At 50.5% G+C, this 21,065-nt stretch overlaps 1 protein-coding gene across 11 annotated transcripts in view; it reads left to right on the top strand.

The window, feature by feature from the left end:
* Positions 1 to 21,065, top strand: part of PHACTR3 (phosphatase and actin regulator 3) — a 270,203-nt gene that overhangs the window by 88,199 nt on the left and 160,939 nt on the right. The window contains exon 1 of one of the 11 annotated variants that reach the window (NM_001199506.2): positions 10,975 to 11,057. The exons of the other annotated variants lie outside the window; for them this stretch is intronic. The gene's annotated coding sequence lies outside the window, so the exon portion shown is untranslated. Of the gene's footprint in view, positions 1 to 10,974; positions 11,058 to 21,065 lie in introns of those variants that run through there. 11 annotated transcript variants of the gene reach the window in all.

The following is a 21,065-nucleotide window of genomic DNA, read 5'->3' on the forward strand; positions in this document are numbered from 1 at the left end:
GGGGAGGGAGAGCCTGTGTGGACTGGAGGCTCAGGAGATGAAGGGCGAGAGGATTGGGTGCACGCTGGGACTCAGAGGCTTACATTCTTATGTGTGGGGAGTACAGAACCCGCCACAAGCTAACTCTATGTTGGCCATGTTTATGGTTATCAGAAGTGGGGTTGGCGTTGAGGACATCAAAGCTTCATGATGCCAGGGGACTGCAAGAGTCCCCTCCGTGGGCATTGGGCAACCCAGGAGATGGCTAAGGAGACTGAAGCCAGCTGCTGGGCACTAGTGGTTTGAGTGAGGAGGAAGAGACCAGAGAGGACTGGGGCCCAGGGGCTGGGACTTAGTGGTGGAGGGGGCTGTGAAGGTCTGTCCAGCTTCCATCTGCCTGTTGTGCATGCCTTGCAGGGAGGCATGGCGGCCTGAGCTCTCTCCTCACTTGGACTTTCTGTGGCTGAGGCAGAAATAAACAGAGATGGACATCAATATGCTGGTGTGTGAAGGCACCCCATGGGGTTAGCTCCAGGCAGACCTAGGCATTGTGTCCTGCCATCTCCTCCCTGCGCCACATCTCCTGTTCAGCTCTATGCAAGCCACGGCCCCACATGCCCTGTGAGTCTGCCCTCTCCCACCCTGCCTAAACCAGGCCACTGGTCTATTTTACAGAAAGATAGGGTTGGACATAGCATCAGGGGTCACTTGAAAGTCACAGGGCTGGAATGTCAGGTGGATTCAGGGCCTGGGGCCACCATTCTGTGACAGCTGAGCTGTGGGCACATTGAGCTGTGGGCAGGTGGAGCAGAAGGAGCTCAATTTCAGAGGAAGAGAGAGACAGAGACAGAGGTAGAGAGAGAGAGACAAAGAGAGACAGAGACAGAGAGACAGGGAGAGAGAGAAAGGAAGAGAAAGATGGAGAGAGACAGAGACAGAGGAAGAAAGAGAGAGAGAGACAAAGACAGAGAGATAGAGAAACAGGGAGAGAGAGAGAGATAGAAAGAGAGTGACATTTAGAGAGACAGAGAGAGGGAGAGAGACCTGATTTCCACATGCAGACTGAAGCAGGGGCGGGAGCCCACTCCCGGAGAGGAAGGGGACATGCAGGGCAGGCTCGCGGTCCAGGTCCTGAGATCCAGAGAAGTCCCATCACGCCCCTTCTGATCAAACTGGTCTGAGTGGGCTTCTGGTCCTTACACGGTGTAATCTTTAAAACAGTAACTGTTATTATTATCACATGAAACTGCAGCACTTCCCTTTCATTACCTTTGAGGGTCGTTTATTGACCAACAGAGAGACCCATGCTTGGGGAGCAACGTCCAAGGTGCCCAGCAGAGGCACAGCAGTGCTGACAGTCCTGACAAGTAACGTGGGACACAGACCACCTGGAGATCTCAGCCTGGAGGTGCCTCAGTTGCTCAGGGTGATGAGATTCTATTTTAAGTTCCCAGGTTGTCATTTAAACCTCTCTCTTCTGTCTTGGGATGGGCTAATGGTGAGATGAGGTGATCGCAGGGCATGAGGCAGGGGAGGTTGAGGTAATAACATCAGAAGTAAAAGTAAAAAATCAACCAACCCTCTAGCCCAGTGGGCGTGGCTGGCCCAATGAGCTGTGGGGCTCCCACAATAGGAGTATAAGCAGCAGGCCCTGCCACCTGGGCTGCTTTGCCACAGGGCATTTGCTCCAGTGTACTCTGCCTCCCAACTAGCCCGTCTCATTGTCTCATTTATTGACTTCTCCCACTTGCCTTTTCATGCATGTGACTTGAAGACCCTTGGTCTAAGCTGTGAATCCTGAACACATGAGGCCTTGTGATAGATGCCCCTAAACATCACAGGAAACAAAGCAGGGACACCCTCGCCATGTAAATTCAGCTTTTCTGATTACAAGACAGAAGGGATTTTTCTGACTTTCCCCTGTCTCCAGAAATTCATGCAGAATCCTGATTTCATCACAACTCACCAGATTTTCCTTCCAGGCCAGCCTGCCTCTGGGGCTTAGGTTTTAGACCAGAGCGGGTGGAAATACAGAGGTGGCTCCATTGCCAAGGAAGTCCTGAAAGGCTTCCTGTCCTGCTTCCTTTCTCTTGTGCTGTGGATGGCCTTTCTGTCTAAGCAGATGTGTGTCACGAGAAGGGGCAGGTGTGTGTGATGGCCATTCAGGCACTGCTCATGCTTCCGAGTTAAAACCTCCTACTTAATCACTGGCTGGAAATAAGCAGTGAATTCTGCAGGGCGAGCCACAAGGGCAGTGCTAGGAAAGTCGCTGTCCTTCCTAGAACCACAGTTGCTTTTGTTAGTTTTGTAAAGGTGAGTGTATACACCTGTACCGAGGCAGAGGTGGGCATGTACACCTGTACACAGATAGAGGTGGGCACATACACCTGTACGGACTTAGAGGTGGGCACATACACCTGTATGGGGTTAGAGATGGACACGTATGCCTGTACGGGCTTAGAGGTGGGCACATACACCTGTACGGGGTTAGAGGTGGGCACGTACGCCTGTACAGGGTTAGAGGTGGACATGTATGCCTGTACATGGTTAGAGGTGGGCACATACTCCTGTATGGGGTTAGAGGTGGGCACGTACACCTGTACGGGGTTAGAGGTGGACATATACGCCTGTACATGGTTAGAGGTGGGCACGTACGCCTGTATGGGCTTAGAGGTGGGCACGTACACCCGTACGGGGTTAGAGGTGGACATGTACACCTGTACATAGGCTCCAGGCTCTTCCTCCTGCAACAGTGAGCTGCCTCGTTTGGGTCATTGGCCTTTCTCACAGTTTGCAGGGGTTGTGCAGATACAGCTCCTTGCTCAGATGTCATTTCAATTTGTTTCCTGGGAACAAAGCTCTCCACCATTTAAGATACATCTCTTTTCTCTATGGGACCCTTTGTCCATATTAGGCCAGGTCCTCTCAAAGCTCCTTCCAGTTAGGCAGTTCAGGAAATGACATGTGCCTTAGATGACAATTCAACAGAACAATTCAATGCCTAAGTTTTTAAAAAATTATTACTTACTTATGAGCCAGAGTTTCTTTCTTGTTGCCTAGGCTGGAGTGCAATGGCATGATCTCGGCTCACTGCAACTCCGCCTCCTGGGTTCAAGAGGTTCTCCTGCCTCAGCCTCCCAAGTAGCTGGAACTACAGGTGCCCGTCACCACACACAGCTAATTTTTTTATTTTATTTTATTTTATTTTATTTTATTTTATTTTATTTTATTTTGTATTTTTAGTAGAGACAGGGTTTCACCATGTCGGCCAGGCTGGTCTTGAACTCCTGACCTTAAATGATCCTCCCACCTTGGCCTCCCAAAGTGTTGGGATTACAGGTGTGAACCACTGCGCCCGGCCCAAAGCCTAAGTTTTAGTATAAGACTGATGTGTCTTCAGATGCTGCCTCTGCCATTTGCATGCTGTGTGACTTCAGCCTGGCAGCTCAACCTATCTGAGCCTCAGTTTCTGCAGCTGTAAAATGGGGACCAGAACTGTCTCTACTCCCTAGGGTTGGAGGGAGAGCCCTCAGTGTGACCCCCGGTGTGGAGTAGGGAGGGTTTCAGCACTGAGGAGTTTTCTCAGCATTCCCTGTCTCAAGACTGTGTTAACTACTGAAGATGGGGTCAATTACTGACCCCTGGGGACTTAAAATAATCAGTGCCGCTTTTCCTCATTGCCTAATTTATTATACTCAAGAAGTGGCCTCCAAATGAGGAAAACCTGATCCATGGCCAAGCTGCCTTGAAAGTTTTCTTTCAATTCTTTTGGTAACAGCTGTATTGAGAGATAATTCACATATCGTGCAGCTCACCCATTGGCAGTGTACTGTTCAATGGTTTTGAGTATGTGAGCAGTGTTTTGCAACCATCATTGTGGTGAAATTTAGAATATTTTCTTCTCCTCTAAAGAGAACCCTGTGTCCATTAGGAATCACTTCCATTTTCCTTTCCCCCGGCCCCTGGCCACCTGTAACCCGCTTTCTGTTTCTTTAGATTTGCCTATTCTGGACACTTCATAGAAATGGAATCACATGACATGTGGCGGTTATGACTGGCTTCCTTCATTTGGCATCATGTTTTCGAAGCTCATCCGTGTTGTAGCATGTGTCAGCCCTCCATTCCTTTTTATGACAGAATGATATTCCACTGTCTGGATACATCACACTTTGTTTCCCCATTCATCAATTGAGGGACGTTTGTGTTGTTTCTATTAATTGTTTTAACCTAAATTGCCTTTCACAACGTTCTTGTTTTGATGTAACTGTCTGCTTATCAATTGTAGAGTTCATTAATTCATCTCTCTATGTGCCCAGTGAATATTTATTGAGTGCCCAGTAAGTCTTGGGTGCTGTGCAAGGCATTTTGATGAATCTGTGAACTAGGCAGGTAAGACTCTTGCCATCACGGAAGGTCCCATTCTAGTGGGGGCCATTTAGGTGCTGCTCTTTCTTCTGATCTTTAGTGGATGACCAACAACAAATAGCTATTAATACACACCATGATGTCGGTGATGACGAATGTGGTGGGAAATGGAGCTGCCTACAGGGAAGAAGGAGTGATGGGTGCTGTTTCAGATGTGGGCACTGGGAAGATGTCTCTCTGGGCAGGGCAATGGGTGCAGAGCCATGGATTTCACTGGTCTGGGTCAAGTTCAGAAATGGGTGGACTATGATGAACCTCTGAAGACCTGGAGATGGGGCCACCTTTTGAGGCAGAAACCTCTCTTTTGTCCTGTGAGAAGTCTGACTTGGCCTCACAGGGTGCAGTCGTCCCCTGCCCTGGACAAGCTCATGTGAATGGCCAGAGTGTGGACACACATCCACCAACCTGCATTCTCAATTACGTGGAAGCCTCCATGTTCTCTCTGCATTTGACCTTCTCTGGAGGGTAAATGAGGACAGGCATCTGCCGGGGGTGGGGGGGGGGGGCAGGCACTTTTACTGTTTCCATCCTGCAAGGTCCGGGGAGACCCCAGGCTTTTCTGTCGTTAAGGTGTCCTAGAGGGAGCATTCAAGCTTATGTTTGTTGGACCTGTGACAGCACGTGGTGCTTGTGTTTACAGCCTGCTCCATGTTCCATCTTCTACTGCACTTGGCTATTTACAGGTCCATAGACCCAGATGGTGCTGTGGTTTCTGTCTCCAGAACGCCTCCCCAGTCCGGCACTTATTCCCACTCTCACTGCCATCTCCTGGGCGTTGCTCACCAGCACCTTAAATGTTCTTGCCACTTCTCCTCTGCAATCTCGTACTTTCTGCTCCCAGACCAAGGGCTAGAGGCATGCTTTCTGTGCTCATGTGCGCATGCTTTCTCAGCAACCTTGTGAGGCTGCCCCACCCCCTCCACAGCTCCTCCCTGGTCCAATGGGAGAGAGCATTTGGTTTCAGAGAGAACCATGTGGTTCTCCTTCTGTTTATTCTGAGCTTTTTTTTCTTCATTTAGCATCAATTCCTGTCATGGAAAATCACAGGAGCCAACTGAAGGGGGATTTCCAGAATATTTGGCCTTCCTTGGGCCTTGGTGAAGTGGCTTCCTTGGCCTGGGCAAGTGGGGCTGTGAGCATCTGTACATTCACAAGAAGGCTGGGGGTGCGGCTCCATGCTGGGTGAGCCTCCTCTCTCCTTGCCGGGGAAGGGCTAGAGTAAGAGTCGGTTTCTCCAAAGTGATGATGCATTCTTTCTCTTATGGGTCTGGCTTGGAAGCCACAGAATTCAAAGGCAGTGCTGGGAGGTGGCTTAGCCCTCCTCTGCTTTAGTTGGTGGAAAGGAAAGGTAGAAACCTGAGGTCAAAAACAGGTGGCCCGTGGGCCTAGGTCAGCCTGCAGACTTGGTTGGTTTGAACACAGTGTTTGTGTGTTTCATTGAACCAACATTTAAATGTAGGGAGATTTCACACCAATATCTGGATTTTCTTTCTGGCTTGGCTTGAAATACTCAGAGCTCGGGTACTGCTGGCTATTGCCAGGCTAGAGGGTTCATGAGGATGGAATTGTCCAGCTGTGATATTGGCTGTCTCCGGGGCCTGCACCATGCCTGGTAGATGAGGTCCATCCACTTAATGAAGGAACGGACTGGCCATGGCTCTTGCCAGGCTGCGTGGCTGCTGCCTGCTCCAGGCAGGACCTGCCTTCTCCAGTTAGGCCAAGTCCTTGACTACCCACGTGGAGAATCCACACCTGGTTCACCTCACCTACTTACCTGTGTATCCAGCCTGGCCTCTCTAGGACATCTGCATCTGGTCCTTGGGAGCAACCGTAGGCATGAGGAATGTGCTGAAAGGGATCCTCCTTTATTCTGAAATGTGGCCCATCAGGCCTCAGCTAGAGATTCTTCCCTAAGGAAGTCTGGAGTCCCGTGGCTGTAACCACAGCTTTCAGAAGCGGTTCTCAAATGTGGGCAGTTTGGGCACCGTCTGGAGGCATTTTCAGTTGTCGCAGCTGGGAGGCATGGTGCCACTGGCATCTCATGGGCAGAGGCCAGGGATACTGCTAAGTACCCCCACAGTGCCCAGGACGGCCCCCGCCACAGAGCATCATTTAGCTTCAAATGTCAGTATTGCTGAGGCTGCGCATCCCTGCGTTGGAGTCACAGTGCCCTGAGTCCCTGTCCCAATGCTGCACTTGCCCTTGACCTTCCTGCCTCCTCGAACCTCAGTTTCCCATCTCTAAAGTGGAGTGATCCTCACATGCACCTCTCTCAGCTAGATGGAGAGGAAACGCCATGGCCTGCATGTAGAATCACACTCAGTGGTCGGGGTTGCAGCTCTGATATTTGGGGAGGCCCTAGCCATGGGGGCTAGGATCTGGGCTGTGGAATCCACCTGTGTGACTATGGGTGGGTCGTATGTCCTCCTGAGCCTCAGTTTCCTCATCTGGGCATCAAGAGAGGAATAGGGCAGCCTCTAAGGATGTGAGGATTAAATGGTTTAATGTCTGCACTCGGCACATGGAACCTGATAAACGTGCGTGAGCAGCGCCATCCTGACTCAGCGGTGTGGTTCTGGGGTCTCCTGAGACACCACTGTGTGCCCGACACCCAGCTTGCGGCCTCCTTCCCTCCACCATCTCTCTCCTCATCCACGAGTCAGGTTAATCCTCCCCCTTGACCCCACACACCGCAGCAAAGTTTTAGGAAGTTGCCTGTGGTTGCCCTTTGGTGTATGGACTCCAGGGTGGCTCCTGTGGAGGTGGGAAGAGCCTTGGGGGCTTCCAGGCAAGAGAGGTGAGTGGGGCTTAGCCTAGGCTGTGGTGGTGGGGTTGGTGAAGAGGGAAGGAATTGGAGAGAGGCCCTGGACACAGAGCCCAGAGGAGTTGCCTGCAGGTTGGATGTGTCTGTTACGGTGAGCTGCAAGCAATCTGAGGGCAGGAGGGTACCTCATCTCCCTCAGCGTCTCTCTAGTGTGTGAGGCTGTGTAGTTTGTGGATTTGAATAGACTTGGAGCTTTTGGGGCATCTTCCTGGGACAACCTCAATTTATTTGGCATCTTCTCAGAGTTTATCTGTGGGCATGGCAGGAGTGACCCCAGACTGGGTTCAGCCCTCTCTTCCTGGCTGAGCCTCTTTGGGTCTTAGTCTGCTCATCTGTAGAATGGGAATAGAATCCTTCACTCTGTGGCCTGTTGTTTTAAGTTTTCAATAAGACCTGGTATTGGAAGCCCCCATCAAAGTGAGGAGCTCATGAAGCACAGGCGTTGGGCACCAGATGCAGGATCTCTTCCTGATGGCCGAGCAATGTGGCGCTAAGCGGGGTGTCTGCGGTTCGCCCCGCCCAGGTCAGCAGCACGACAAGGGGCAGGCCTTGGATTCTCTTAGACCTGCTCACAGCCTGGGCTTCTGGGGCCCTGAATGTGGCCAGTGCTCAGGTGGTTGGGAGCTGGCCTGGCAGCACCTGGGGCTCCCAAACACAAGGGAAGACAGGCAGCTGGGATGGTGACCCTGGGGACCCTGCTATCCTGTGGAGGCCCCAGGATTCCGACTTGTACCCGGGCTTGCTTGGTGCTGTCTTGGGACTGTCTCTGGGCTGGGACAGTGAGCTCTTGGATGGGCCCTCGGCTGTCAGTGCCTCAGAGCTGCAGAAGGTCAGAGCCAGGCCTGGGGTGGACCAAGTGGTATCTACACCCCTCCCAAATGTGTCCGAACTGGGTAGTTTTGTGCAGCTCACTCTGCCTCTCTGAGCCTTGGTTTCCTCACCTGACCTGCACAGTGGAAGAGGAGAAGAGCCTGACAGGAAGGCCGGATCAAGCTGGTAGGGTTTCAGTGCAGGCCCTGGCAGAGCAGCCCCGAAGCTTGGGAAGGCCAGGAAATCCCGCGCTGGTCTCCAGACCTGCCTGCCCGAGGAGTCGAGCTTCTGATGAAATTCAGCTGAGATTTCGGTTTTTTGTGCTCTGTACCCTGACAAGGGGCAGGAATCGGGAGCCAGCCTCGGCTGTCAGTGTCCTGGGCTGGTTCCCTCCCACCTCCCGCTTAAAGGTGTCATTAGCAAGGGCAAGACGTCTTCTAACAGGTGGAAACAACTTGTCAAGACAGCCTGTGGCTGCTGCGTTTAGAGACCCAGAGACCCTGAATGTGGACTAACGCCCCCAGAATGTTCAGAATTAATGTGCTGCCCCAGGCAGTGCTGGGGCGGGGGGCATGGCTCTGACTCCTGCCCTTGGGTTTGCCCCACTCTGCCCTCTTCCCCTTCTCCTGTTCCTTCCCCTTCTCCTGTTCCTCCTTCTCCTGTTCCTTCCCCTTCTCCTGTCCCCCCTTCTCCTGTTCCTTCCCCTTCTCCTGTCCTCTCTTCTCCTGTTCCCCCTTGTTCTCGTTCCCCTTCTCCTGTTCCCCCTTCTCCTGTCCCCGCTTCTTCTGTCTCCCCTTCTGTTCCCTCCTTCTCCTATTCCCCGCTTCTCCTGTTCCCCCCTTCTCCTGTCCCCGCTTCTCCTGTTCCCCCCTTCTCCTGTCCCCGCTTCTCCTGTTCCTCTCCCTTCTCCTGTTCCCCACTTCTCCTCTTCCCACCTTCTCCTGTTCCTGCCTTCTCCTGTCCCCCCTTCTCCTGTTCCCCCTCCTCCTGTTCCCCCCTTCTCTGGTTCCCTCCTTCTCCTGTTCCCCCTCCTTCTGTTTCCCCCCTTCTCCTCTTCCCACCTTCTCCTGTCCCCCACTTCTCCTGTTTCTGCCTTCTCCTGCCTTCTCCTGTTGCCCCTTCTCCTGTCCCCCGCTTCTCCTGTCTCTGCCTTCTCCTGCCTTCTCCTATCCCCCCTTCTACTGTCCCCCCACTTCTCCTGTTCCTCCCCCTTCTCCTGTTCCTCCCCTTCTGTTCCCCCCTCTCCTGTTCCCCCTTCTCCTGTTCCTCCCCATTCTCCTCCCTGTTCCTCCCCCTTCTCCTCCCTGTTCCTCCTTTTCCCCCTCTCTTTTCCTCCCCTTCCTATTCTTTTCCCTCTTCCCTTCCCCCTCCTCCCCTCCACTTACCCCTCTCCCTCCCTATTCTTTTCCCTCTTCCCTTCCCCCTCCTCCCCTCCACTTACCCCTCTCCCTCCCTGTCCTTCTCCCTCTTCCCAGCTAATTGTATTGAGGCTGTACCTTGTGATAGGAACTTTGGGTAGCTCTCTTAGCTCATATCACACCATCCCTGGGGAAGGGTACCCCATTGTACAGGTGGGTACACAGAAGAGGGGAGAGATGCCCCCACTACAATGTGCTGGGAGCAGAATTTGGACCTGGATCTGAGTCCAGCTCCTCCATCCCCTGCAGGAAGGATCTGGGCTCTTGGGGTGTCAGGGGGCAACTACCTCTTCATAGCAAAGCTTCATTCGTTAAGTTCCTGGTTCTGGGCTATTGTCCCTGTCTCCGAGGATCAGAGAGGTGAAGTCCCCTGCCTGGGTTCAGATGGTTATGGAGTAGGGGTCCTGGTTCAGACCCATGGCTGTCTTTCTTGCCAGCAGCACTTCTTTCTTTGGGGTGATTTTTCCCCCAGGGGACACTGCAGTGCCTGGAGACATTCTGGTTGTTATAACTGGGGTGGAGGGTGCTTCTGGCCTCTGGCATGTAGCTGTCAGGGATGCGGCTAAACCTCCTGCAATGCACAGCACAGCCCCCACCACAGAGAATTGTGTGGTCCCAAATGTCACCAGTGCTGAGGCTGAGAAACCCTGCACCAGGCCCCTCCCCAGCTGACCCTATGTTCCTGCAACTAAGCCAGCAGTAGACATACCTGCAGCAGCAGGTGTTGGTGCTACAGGTGACCCTAGGTCCTCGACCTCCCCATCTGTCTGCCACCTGGGCCTGGGCCTGGGCCCGGAATAAAAGGTGCACCAAGGGTCCCTGGCTTCAGCATTTTTTGTTTTCAGGTTGCATATCAGACTCCTTCTTGCCTCCTGAGGTCCCTTGGGACTTGGCTCCAGGCAGCCTCCCTGATCTAAGACTTCAGCAGCCGCCTCAGGACTCTGCATGGCCAAGGTCCCCTCTGCCCCAGGTCACCAAGGTCATTGTGGTAGGGAAGGAGAAGAGAGGGCCCTAAGAAAAACTCCAGTCCCACTAGTTCCTGGAACTTGCCTAAGGCCAGGAGAAGTTGCTGCCATCGTGGGTTCTGTATATGGGATTCAGGACTTTGGTTCAGGTGGTTTCTGCCAGGCTCTGGCCAGATGCCAGCCTAGGCAGTGTCCTGGCAGTGCTGAGTGACACGTCTCGGGCACAGAGAGGAGTGGGCGCCTGGCCCTGAGCAGAGGGGAGGCTTGTTGGGGGCCAGCACTTGATCCACTGAGCCGGACCCTCAGACCCTGGGTTGCCCTCCTCACCCCCACCCCCACCTCATCTCTGCTTCCTGCAACATCTATATTTAAAAATGTTGACAGATAATAATGGTGTTCAGCCCCAAAATGCAGACAGGAGCTTCCTGACAATTGCAGTGCTGCGCCGGGTTGGAGGTTTTCTCAGGGAGCGGAGCGAGTCCCCAGGAGCAAGTGAGAGTGCCAGGGCTGTGAGGGCTCTTTGCCAATCTTGACCTTTCAGGGAGATTTGAGAGAAAGACTCCAGAAGCCCGCGGGGAGAGCAGGGGTTCTGGGGAAGATAAAGCCCTTCATCCAGGATCCCTCTGTGACCATAAGGTGAGTTGCTTTGCCCCACATCTCTGGTGAGGCAGAGGGCAGGGACTCTGCTTAGGGAGCAGGCTTCTTAAAGGCAAAGGGTTTGCAAATTCTAGCAGCAGCAGGGCCCTAAGAGAATGGCTTTTTTTTTTTGTTCTTGAATCGGATGACTGCATTTGGAGTCTGGGGTGAGGGGTGGGGGCTGCCCCTCTTGGAGCCACAGATGGGTCATTTTTATGTATCAAGGGAGTCAGACCAGGATCAGCCCTGGGTTTCTGGCACAGAGTCCAGAAAGAGTCACGAAGGTCTTTTGTTTGCATGTGAATGGTATTTTAACCTATTACTTCTGGGCTAAAAATAAAAATTCCCCTCAGATGCCTTTTTGTCTGTAGATTGTAAGATCGTTTCCAGGAAATAATAGATTGTCATTGATGTGCGTTTTGACTGCATGGTGTCCTATTCTTAAGCCAGGTTTTATAAAAATTCAAAGTAGAGGAGGTTTCCCACAGTGGAGATTGAAGCCTTCATTTAGTGTCAGGAACATATGCTCCACTATCAGGAGTCATTGTCCTTCCGGGATCTCCACCACTGAACCCTGGGTGGGAGTGTGGGAGTGGGTGAGGGAGAAGGCACACTTGGCTTTTGTGTGGTTTTACATTTGGTATCATTTGTGGACTTTTGGTTCTGAAAAATGGTTTGCAAGTGAAGTTGGATGTCTGGAGTTGGGGCCCAAGAAGGCGATGGAGAAGTGAATTCTAATTCACAGTTAATATGGGTCATGGTTAAGTTCTTGGAAGCAACATTGGTTTCCAAAGGTGCCTGCTGCGTTTTTAAGCTGCAAGGTTTTATGTTTTTTTGACCCAGTGGAAAATGGCGATTCAGGATCCCAAGGACTTCAGGAGAGGTTGTCTGAATGCTAAAACCCCTTCCCTGAAATGCTTGCTTTCTTTTTAGAGGACAGGAAATATGGGAAATTAACAGTCCTTTTGTGGAGTGTGGTTTGCGTGTTGTTCTTTGAGGAGGAATTACGGAATTATGTGCGTGTATAATGATGGTAACCACATACACAATCGAAGAATAACAAGTCAGAAAAATCCATGGTGAGGTTCATTCAGAAATAATCAAGAGTGTATTGTTTAATTAAGGAGAGGATCAGAGGAATGCAGTCCCAGAGCCACCATTTCGGTTGTCACCTAGGTGCAACTCTCAGCAGAAGGAAGCATTCCCAATAAGATGTTCTGAAAACGTACTGCCGTTGAATCTCACAACTTTCACCCCACAAGCTGCAATAAGAGGCCAGTATGAAAATGCGCTCTTTCTTCCCCATACATTTTCTTCTGTTCCTGAGCCGAGCCCATAGGTAGCTTGGCAGTTTGCAATTCTCTGTCTACACGGAATAGATATAGATTTTTTTTTCCTGTATGTTTTGGGTATTAACTCTTTGGTTGCCAAGCTGTTGAGCCCTGAGTCTATATTATACACCTTCAGCCCGTGGCTTACAGGGCTTCAACACATCGTTGTTATATAATGCAGTAGTTTTGCTTGTGGGGTGACTGTTCATATCGTGGATGCTCAGAAAATTCTATTTTTAAAGTATAAAATACCACTCTTCAGAGCAGCCTGCTCACTCCTGCCTCCCTGGGAGCCACACGCTTTGCACCGTGGAGTTGTTGGCATGAAGGCACATGACATATGGATGGGAGTGCGTTCCTCCTGTCTAGGGCCTCTTAGGACCCGAGGAATGGCTGGAGGCAGTTTCTCTCCAGTCCTGAGGTTGATGATCCGAAGCTCTTGGTGCTGAGCCTGTGCTGCTATTTTTAGCTTCCTTTCTTCCCTGCATCTTGACATAATTCGACATGTCGCAGCTGAATCTCATCTACTTGCAGAGCTTACCGTGTTTTGTAATCTGTGTTTTGTGGGGCAGAAATAGTCCTTGCCAGAGCATATTATATCATTATTATTCAGGGGGAAAGTTATGATACTATCAATTAACTTTAGAAGATGCAAAACACAATTGATCCTTTGATTTTCTTTCTACTGCTAATTTCCTGGCTGGGAGCACCTGGAGGGTAGGCACTCCTCCTCCTTCTGCCGGACCAGAAGGCAGCAAGCAGTGGTTCTCACATCTTGGGAACCTGTATCAGAAGCACCTGGAGGGGCTGTTACAAAGGCAATTGCAGCCCCACTGGCAGAGTTTCTGAGTTAGCAGGTCTGGGTGGGGTGGGGGGGCAAGTAATTTGCATCTCTCACAAGTTCCCAGGTGATGCTGACGCCGGTCCAGCACTGCACTTTGAATCACAGATGGAGATCACGGCAGAGGGTTGGTAAATATTTAGGGGGTGGACGATGCCTACATGCAGAGAGCCAATTTAAGAAATATACAGATGGTGGAGCAGGAGATTTTCAGTTGTTGTGTATCCTGTCCACGCGGTTGAAGATGGACTTGATTGAAAAAGAAATTAAAGTTGAAATAAAATTAGCTGACTGAGAGGATGGCTCCTGACAGTGTCCAATGCTGTGATGTTATTTAGGGAGGATGAAGCATCACGACTCAGACAACTTACTTTGAGATGGCCAACAGCACACACAGACATAAATGAAGTGCGTGTACATGCACACACACGAAACTCAGCAAAATATTAACTGCTGAAACAATAGGTGTTCATATTATTCTAATTTCATACTATTTCTATTTCTAATACTTTTCTTCATAACAAACATTGTATTAACATGGCAAACACAATAATAGGGCTTAGGACAGCTTTTCTTGTGTGTGTGCTTAATAGTAAATCAAGGTCACCCACATGTTCACAGCTGTGTTGCTCTGGGTGGCATGGGCATCGGTACTGTATTAGTCCATTTTTACACTGCTGATAAAGACGTACCCAAGACTGGGTAATTTATAAAGAAAAAGAGGCTTAATGGACTCACATTAAGCCTCTGGGGAGCCCTCACAATAATGGCAGAAGGTGAAAGGCATGTCTTACGTGGCAGCAGACAAGAGATAATGAGGACCAAGTGAAAGGGGTTTCCCCTTATAAAACCGTCAGATCTCATGAGACTTATTCACTACCACAAGAACAGTATGGGGGAGACTGCCCCCATGATTCAGTTACCTCCTGCTGGGTCCCTCCCGCAACACGTGGAAACTATAGGAGCTACAATTCAAGAAGAGATTTGGGTGGGGACACAGCCAAACTGTATCAGGCACACGCATCGCTTTAGGGAGTTCTCATTTCCTTCCATTCAACCTGATCCTTTATCTGCTTGTTCTTTCCTCCTTTCCCTTCCATTCTCTTTCACTCCCTCCTCCCTGGCTTCCCTCTCTTCTGCTCTCCCTCCCTCCTTCCTTCTTCCTGTCCCCATCTCCTGTCTTCTGGTGACTCTGGGTCAAAGGACCCTGGTCCAGAAGGGTTCCGTGTGGGGATGTGTTGTGCTGAACCCCTGTTAACCTCAGTAGGGAAGGTACCAGGTTCAAGAGGCCAAAGAAGAGACCTGGAGCCAGCAAACAAGACATACAGTTTTATTATGGACTTACATGCAGGGAAGAGAGTCCAGTGGTGGCAGGTTGAAGAGAACTGTCTTAACATACAGAAACGGTCCAGTGGTGGCAGGCTGGACAGGAGAACTGCCTTAATGTTCAGAAACGGTCCAGTGGTGGCAGGCTGGACAACATATCCACCTTCCTACAGTCTGGTGGTGGCAGACTGGGCAAGAAAACCACAACTGCAACCGCCTGCGAACATCATGCAGTTTACGCAGCATTTTCATTTAGCACCCTCCTCCTAACAGCCCTCACCTGGCAACCTTCATGTAACCCAAGCTTGTCCAACCCAAGGCCTGTGGGACGCATGCAGCCCAGGATGGCTTTGAATGCGGCGCAACACAAATTTGTAAACTTTCTTAAAGTGTTATGAGATTTTTTTTTTTAGCTCATCAACTATCATTAGTGTTAGCGTATTTTATGTATGGCCCAAGACAATTCTTCTTTTTCTAATGTGGCCCAAGGAAGCCAAAAGATTGGACACCCCTGATAGTAACCCAAAACTCAGGGCCTCAATCCCCTGTACAGCCCGTGTTCCACAGGACAGGCCGGAGGCTCAGATGTTGTGGTAGATAGGAACAGATCTCTGGGTGGGCCACTCCCGGATTCCCTAGTTTGGAACACACATTCAGGTGCACCTGTCATACAGGGTCATTCTAAGGGTATGCTTAAAATATTGATGTCAGGTGTGTTTACCCTGCAGGATGCTGTGGCATCTGCCCAGGAAAAAGTTGAATTATGCCAGTTATTGTTTTCCCAGGGTTTTCAGGCTGCCTCCTTGTTTTTTAAATAAAGTTTTATTAGAACACACTCACACCCATTTACTTACACACTTCTCTGGCTGCTTTCCAGCAGCATAGCTGAGGCAGAGACCATAGATCCACACAACTGAAAATATTTACTTCTGGCCTGTTGCAGAAAAAATTTGCCCATGCTGATTTGTTTCTGTGGGCTGGCTGTCTTGGAGATTCCACACGTACACACATGTGCACATGTGCATACATACTCATACTAAGGACATGCAGCAAGACGTTAAGGGTTGTGGAGTCTAGAGTACATGTGATTGTTCATTGTACCATTTTTTTTTTCTACTTTTTCACGTGTCCAAAAAATTTGTAAAACATTTTGATGACTGTGGCAGTGACCACCCCAGGGTCTCTAGAGGAATGCCACAGGGGTCCATCCCAGGTTCTGAGTCTTCAACATTTGCCTCACCCACTTGGCAGGTTAATCAAATGGGTAGATGACACAAATCAATAAAAGCATTAACAAAGTGTCCCATATATTCAAGAGCCAAACAGATATCTCAACAGACTGTTAGGGAGGCTGAGTCAACAAGGAGAAGTTTAATGTTCATAAGCTTCAGGTATCCAGCTCAGATTTACAAAGATCTTTGCCCAGGTCCTGCAAGGAGCAGACTTTGATAGGAATCAGGCCTCTGGGCCAGGCATGGCGGCTCACCCCTGTAATCTCAGCTCTTTGGGAGGCCGAGGTGGGTGGATCACCTGAGGTCGGGAGTTTGAGACCAGCCTGACCAACATGGTGAAACCCTGTCTCTACTAAAAACACAAAATTAGCTGGGAGTGGTGGCACATGCCTTTAATCCCAGCTACTCAGGAGGCTGAGGCAGGAGAATCATTTGAACCCAGGGGGTGGAGGTTGCGGTGAGCAGAGATCGTGCCATTGCACCCCAGACTGGGCAACAAGAGCGAAACTCTATCTCAAAAAAAAAAAAAGAAAGAAAGAAAGAAAAAAATAATCAGGCCTCTTGGCTGGACGCGGTGGCTCATGCCTGTAATCCCAGCATTTTGGGAGGCCGAGGCAGGTGGATCACTTGAGGCCAGGAGTTCGAGGCCAGCCTGGCCAACATGGCAAAACCCCGTCTCTACTAAAAATACAAAAATTAGCTGGGTGTGGTGGCGTGCACCTGTAGTCCCAGCTACTCGGCAGGCTGAGGCAGGAGAATCGCTCCAACCCAGGAGGCAGAGGTTGCAGTGAGCCAAGATCATGGTGCTGCACTCCAGCCTGGGCAACAGAGTGAGACTCTGTCTCAAAAACAAAAACAAACAAAACAAAAAAAAGGGAAAGAAATCTGGCCTCTTAATGGAACCAAAGTCTGCGGGGTCCCTAGAGTGTGTGCAAACTGTTCCAGTCACTGGGACATCAGTGTGCAAAGCCTCCTGGAGCTTGTGTGCTAGTGGGAGAGGACAATGAACGGCACCTATAACCAGTAGGGGATCGTCCTGCATGTTAGTAATAAGTGTTGTGGGAAATGAACAGGAGAAGTAGGGGGAGGTAAGAGAAGGTATAAATGTGGTAGGCTGTAGACATTTGAGTATTACATGGAGTGTCAGGATTGGCATCATTACGGAGGTGACATTTGAGCAAAGCCGTGAAGGCGGTGAGGAAGTGAGCCATGTGGATATCTGAGGCAAGAGCCTTTGGGGCAAAGGGAACCTTCAGTGAAGACGCCCCGAATAAGAGCCGGCCTGGTGGGTTCCAGGAACAGGGAGGAGGAGCCCGTGGTGGCTGGAGTCACATGAGATTGCTGGGGAGGGAGACGGGAGAGAAGCAGGGACATTGTAGGGAGGGGCCTCTGCCAGCACTTGGGCTTTTGCTCTGAGTGTGACGGGTCGGGGGGGACATTGGAGGGTTTGAGATTTAATTATGATTCATCAAATAACTTGAGAACAGGCTAGTGTCCAGGTGGACTGACCAGCCTAGCAGTCATTGCTGCAATCCAGGCGGGAGATGATGCTAACTGGCCACAGTGAGGTTGTGGACGTGGACACTTCTAGAAGGTAGAATGATGCAGTTGGCTGAGGGAGCAGATGGGGAAACAGGGACAGTGGAGTTTCAAGGGAGGACTCTCAGGTTCTGTCGTGAGTAACAGAAGGATAGAGCGTTGGTCCTGGCCTATGAGGGGAAGGCCGTGGTGGAGCAGGTTTCAGGGAGAGAGCAGTTCAATTTTGGCTACAGTGAATTTGGAGCATCTATTTGACATCCGTGCAAAGATGACAAATTGGCAATTGGCTGCACAACTCTGTGCTTGGGAGAGAGGTTTGGGCTGAAGCTGTGCATTCGGGAGGCCGCAGCTGAGCAGAAGCTGAATGTGAGCTAACGCGCTCTCTCCCTGACTTAGTCATTTGTCTGCCACCTGTAGTCTAATTTGCCAAATACTTTCTTTTAAACCAGGTCTTTTTTTTTTTTTTCAAATTTAAACTCATTTTAAAAGGATATCTATGTTGCACTTTTAAGTAGAAATCCAATATTGCTTGCCTTTGATAAAAGGTAACCATAAAATAAAACAATGACAACAAAACAACATTTAGTTCAAGTTAGGCATAGTCTCTCACTAAGGATTTTGAGCCAGAGGGTCTTATGTATTATCCAAACACAGAGATCAACAAGTGTCAGATGCCAGGGTCGTCATAATACCAAACTAAGACTCTCCTCTTGAAGTTCTTGGAAGATTGGAGGGAAATTGGCAAGAAATTAGCTTCTGTTGCTTTGTCCTGGGTCCACGAATCCCTTAAAGTCCCCTTTTACCCTGTTATGTGCCTGGCCCTTGGGGAGATGCTGAGCTGAGCAGCCGTTATAGTGGGTAGAAGAAGGAAGCTTGGGGTCCAGCTTGACCCTCTGCTAGAGGTTGGGTTTGCCTTAGGACTATGTATTTTCTGAAAGGCAAACTGCAATTTGCAAGAACGCAGAGAGGGGCAATGGCTGTTTATTCTAGAACAGACTTGGGGGATGAGAACCTTGGAAAGAAAGGGTGGGATTTTTCCTGCATGGTTCTAGGATGTGGCCCTGCAGCCAGCTGGGAAGGATAAAAGGATACAAGTGGGTTGGTTTCACTTCCCTCTGGGCACAGGCTTTCTCTCTGAGAATTCTCACTGGGGCTCATATCTTTTAAATTAAGTAGTCTGCTCCTGAATAATATCTTTCTTTGGGGCTGTTTCTTTTTCAGTTTATATATTGGGGTCCCTTTTTGACATTATAGGCTTTCCTCAAATGCCTGGTGAGCCAGGATCGACCTTGTTCATTGCAGAATGAAGCAGCAAAGAGCTGGTGTGTGCTCACGGTGTGTTTCAGCTGGTGGGTTTTGTTTCAGGTTGCCCAGGCCTGGAGGTGGCCTTGGTGCTGAGGGGCCTTTGCAGAACCTTCTCTTTGTGGCTGGTCTGGAGACAGGCAAGGATGCTCCTGTACTTTTTGCCTGGAGATGGGAGTTGTCCATGTTATCTGCAATCCACCCTAGGCTGATGGTGAGGGAGGGAGTCTGCTGTCATAGGAAGCATGTAAACAGACTCAGGCTTCTCTCAGCATGAGAAGGGATTTTGGATCTCTGAGGTCCTTCCTACTGTGGATTTGCAGTTTCCCTCCACAACCTCACCCGCAGGAATCCGGAAGCGCCTGATGCCTTCCCTGGGCTGGGAGCCCCTAGAGAGGAGGATCTGCTGAGCTGTTATGACATCGTGCCCACAACTGTGCAGGCATTTGGGAGATGCTCTGAAAATGCCCGATGAAGGGTTGTGAGGATGAAAGAATCTGCTGCTGAACACAAACTGCTGGGCTCCAGGCTACTGAGCCCAACTTATTCCATGGCCCAGCATGTCCCACGGCTCAGCATGTCCTGTGGCTCAGCACGTCCCTTGGCTTCCCATGGCTCAGCACGTCCCGTGGCTCAGCTCTCACTCCTTTGCTTCTGCAGGTCCCTTGGTCTGGCGTGTCCTCCCCACTCTTCCTGAGTTCTCTGAATTCTACTTGTGGCTCCAGGGCCCCCTCTTTCATGAAACCTTGACTCACCACCTCCACCTCTTTCCCCACCTCACCCACCACTGTCCTGCTCTTGGGGCCCTGCACCCACCTCCTGCTGGGCCCCTGCTTCTGCCCTGCAGTGCTGTGGCCCCCTTCCTGCCCAGCAGCTGGGAAGGCATCCTGAAGTGCATATCAGATCTTGCCCTGTCCCTGCCTCCCATTGCCTCTGGACCACAGCCTCTGAGATCCTGCCTGCCTTCCTCATCTTGTCTTCCATTCCTGGGGAACAGTGGCCACATAGCCAGGTGGCTGGCAGCACGGACTTGGGAGACCCTACCAGCCTGGGTTTGAACCCTGTCTCTACCGCCTGCTTGCTTTGTGACCTGGTTCCTCATTTTCCTCATCTGTAAGATGGTGGTGTTGAAAGGACCCGTCTGGTAGGGTTGTTCTGAAGGTTGAGATATTCAAATGCTGAGAACACCACCCAGCACAAGGCTGGTGAATGCTCCAGGAGGGTTCACTGCGCCGTTGCCATTTTCCTGTTGATCCTGGAGTTCCGGCCACTCTGGCCTCTGCTCACATAGCTGGAACTCGTCAGACCATCTCCCACCTCAAGGTCTTTGCCTCTACCGTGCTGTCTCAGGACACTCGTCCCCTGCCTTACCATTCGGTCAGCCCATTATCCTTCGGGCCTCAGGTTGAATGTCACTTGCTGAGAGCAGCCCTCTCTGACCATCCTTTTAGAGTGGCTTCCCCGCCTCACATTCCCCGTTACAGTCTGGCCTGATTGTATCTGCCAGTGGGTTCTGCTTCCCCCAACCACAACTTGCCCATCATGAGGGGGCAGCCTTGCCTGTTGTCCCCTGCACTGCATCAACACTGCCTGGACCAGAGGCCCTCGGTAACTGCCAGTTGGCTGAATGAATGCAGGAATGAGGCATGAACAATGCAAAGATGCTGAACCATGACATGAGGGACTGTTTCATTCATGTGGCATGGGGGTGGGCTACCCCCCCCATACCTAACTTTTCCAATGTGACGGTTTTCCTTCTGAATTTATAAGGTGCCCACCTTAAAGACAGGAATTCAGCTCATATCTTTTAATAGACCCTGCAAGGTATCCAGTTCCTAGGACACAGCATTTTGTTGGTTATTGAATGAGACTGAAGGGATGAGAAGAGTGGCCAATAGCATGGAGCTGGGGCCTAACTGCCCACGTGTGGTCTTGGTCCCTAGTATTTATTAGCCAAGTGTCCTTGGCCAACTTCATTTTATGCCACAAAACCTCAGTCTCCTCATCTATACAATGGGAATAATAATAATACCTTTTCTAGAGTTGGAGGGAGGATTAAATGAGTCAGTTATGTTTAAAGTCCTGGAACAGTGCCAATGCCCACCACATAGTAATTTCCATGTAAATGTGAGCTGCCATGATGATGGTGATGATCATGGTTGTGATGATGGTGGTGATGATTGTGATGTTGATGGTGATGATGATGGTCGTGATGATGATGGTGATGATGATGGTCGTGATGATTGTGATGATGATGGTGATGATGATGGTGGTGATGATGATGGTTGTGATGATTGTGATGATGGTGGTGATGATGATGGTGGTGATGATGATGGTGATGATGATGGTGATGATGATGATTGTGATGATGGTGGTGATGGTGGTGGTTATGATGATGGTGGTGATGATGGTGATGATGATGGTGATGATGATGGTG

Source organism: Homo sapiens, chromosome 20 (assembly GCF_000001405.40).
Source record: "Homo sapiens chromosome 20, GRCh38.p14 Primary Assembly".
Taxonomy (NCBI): Eukaryota; Metazoa; Chordata; class Mammalia; order Primates; family Hominidae; genus Homo; species Homo sapiens.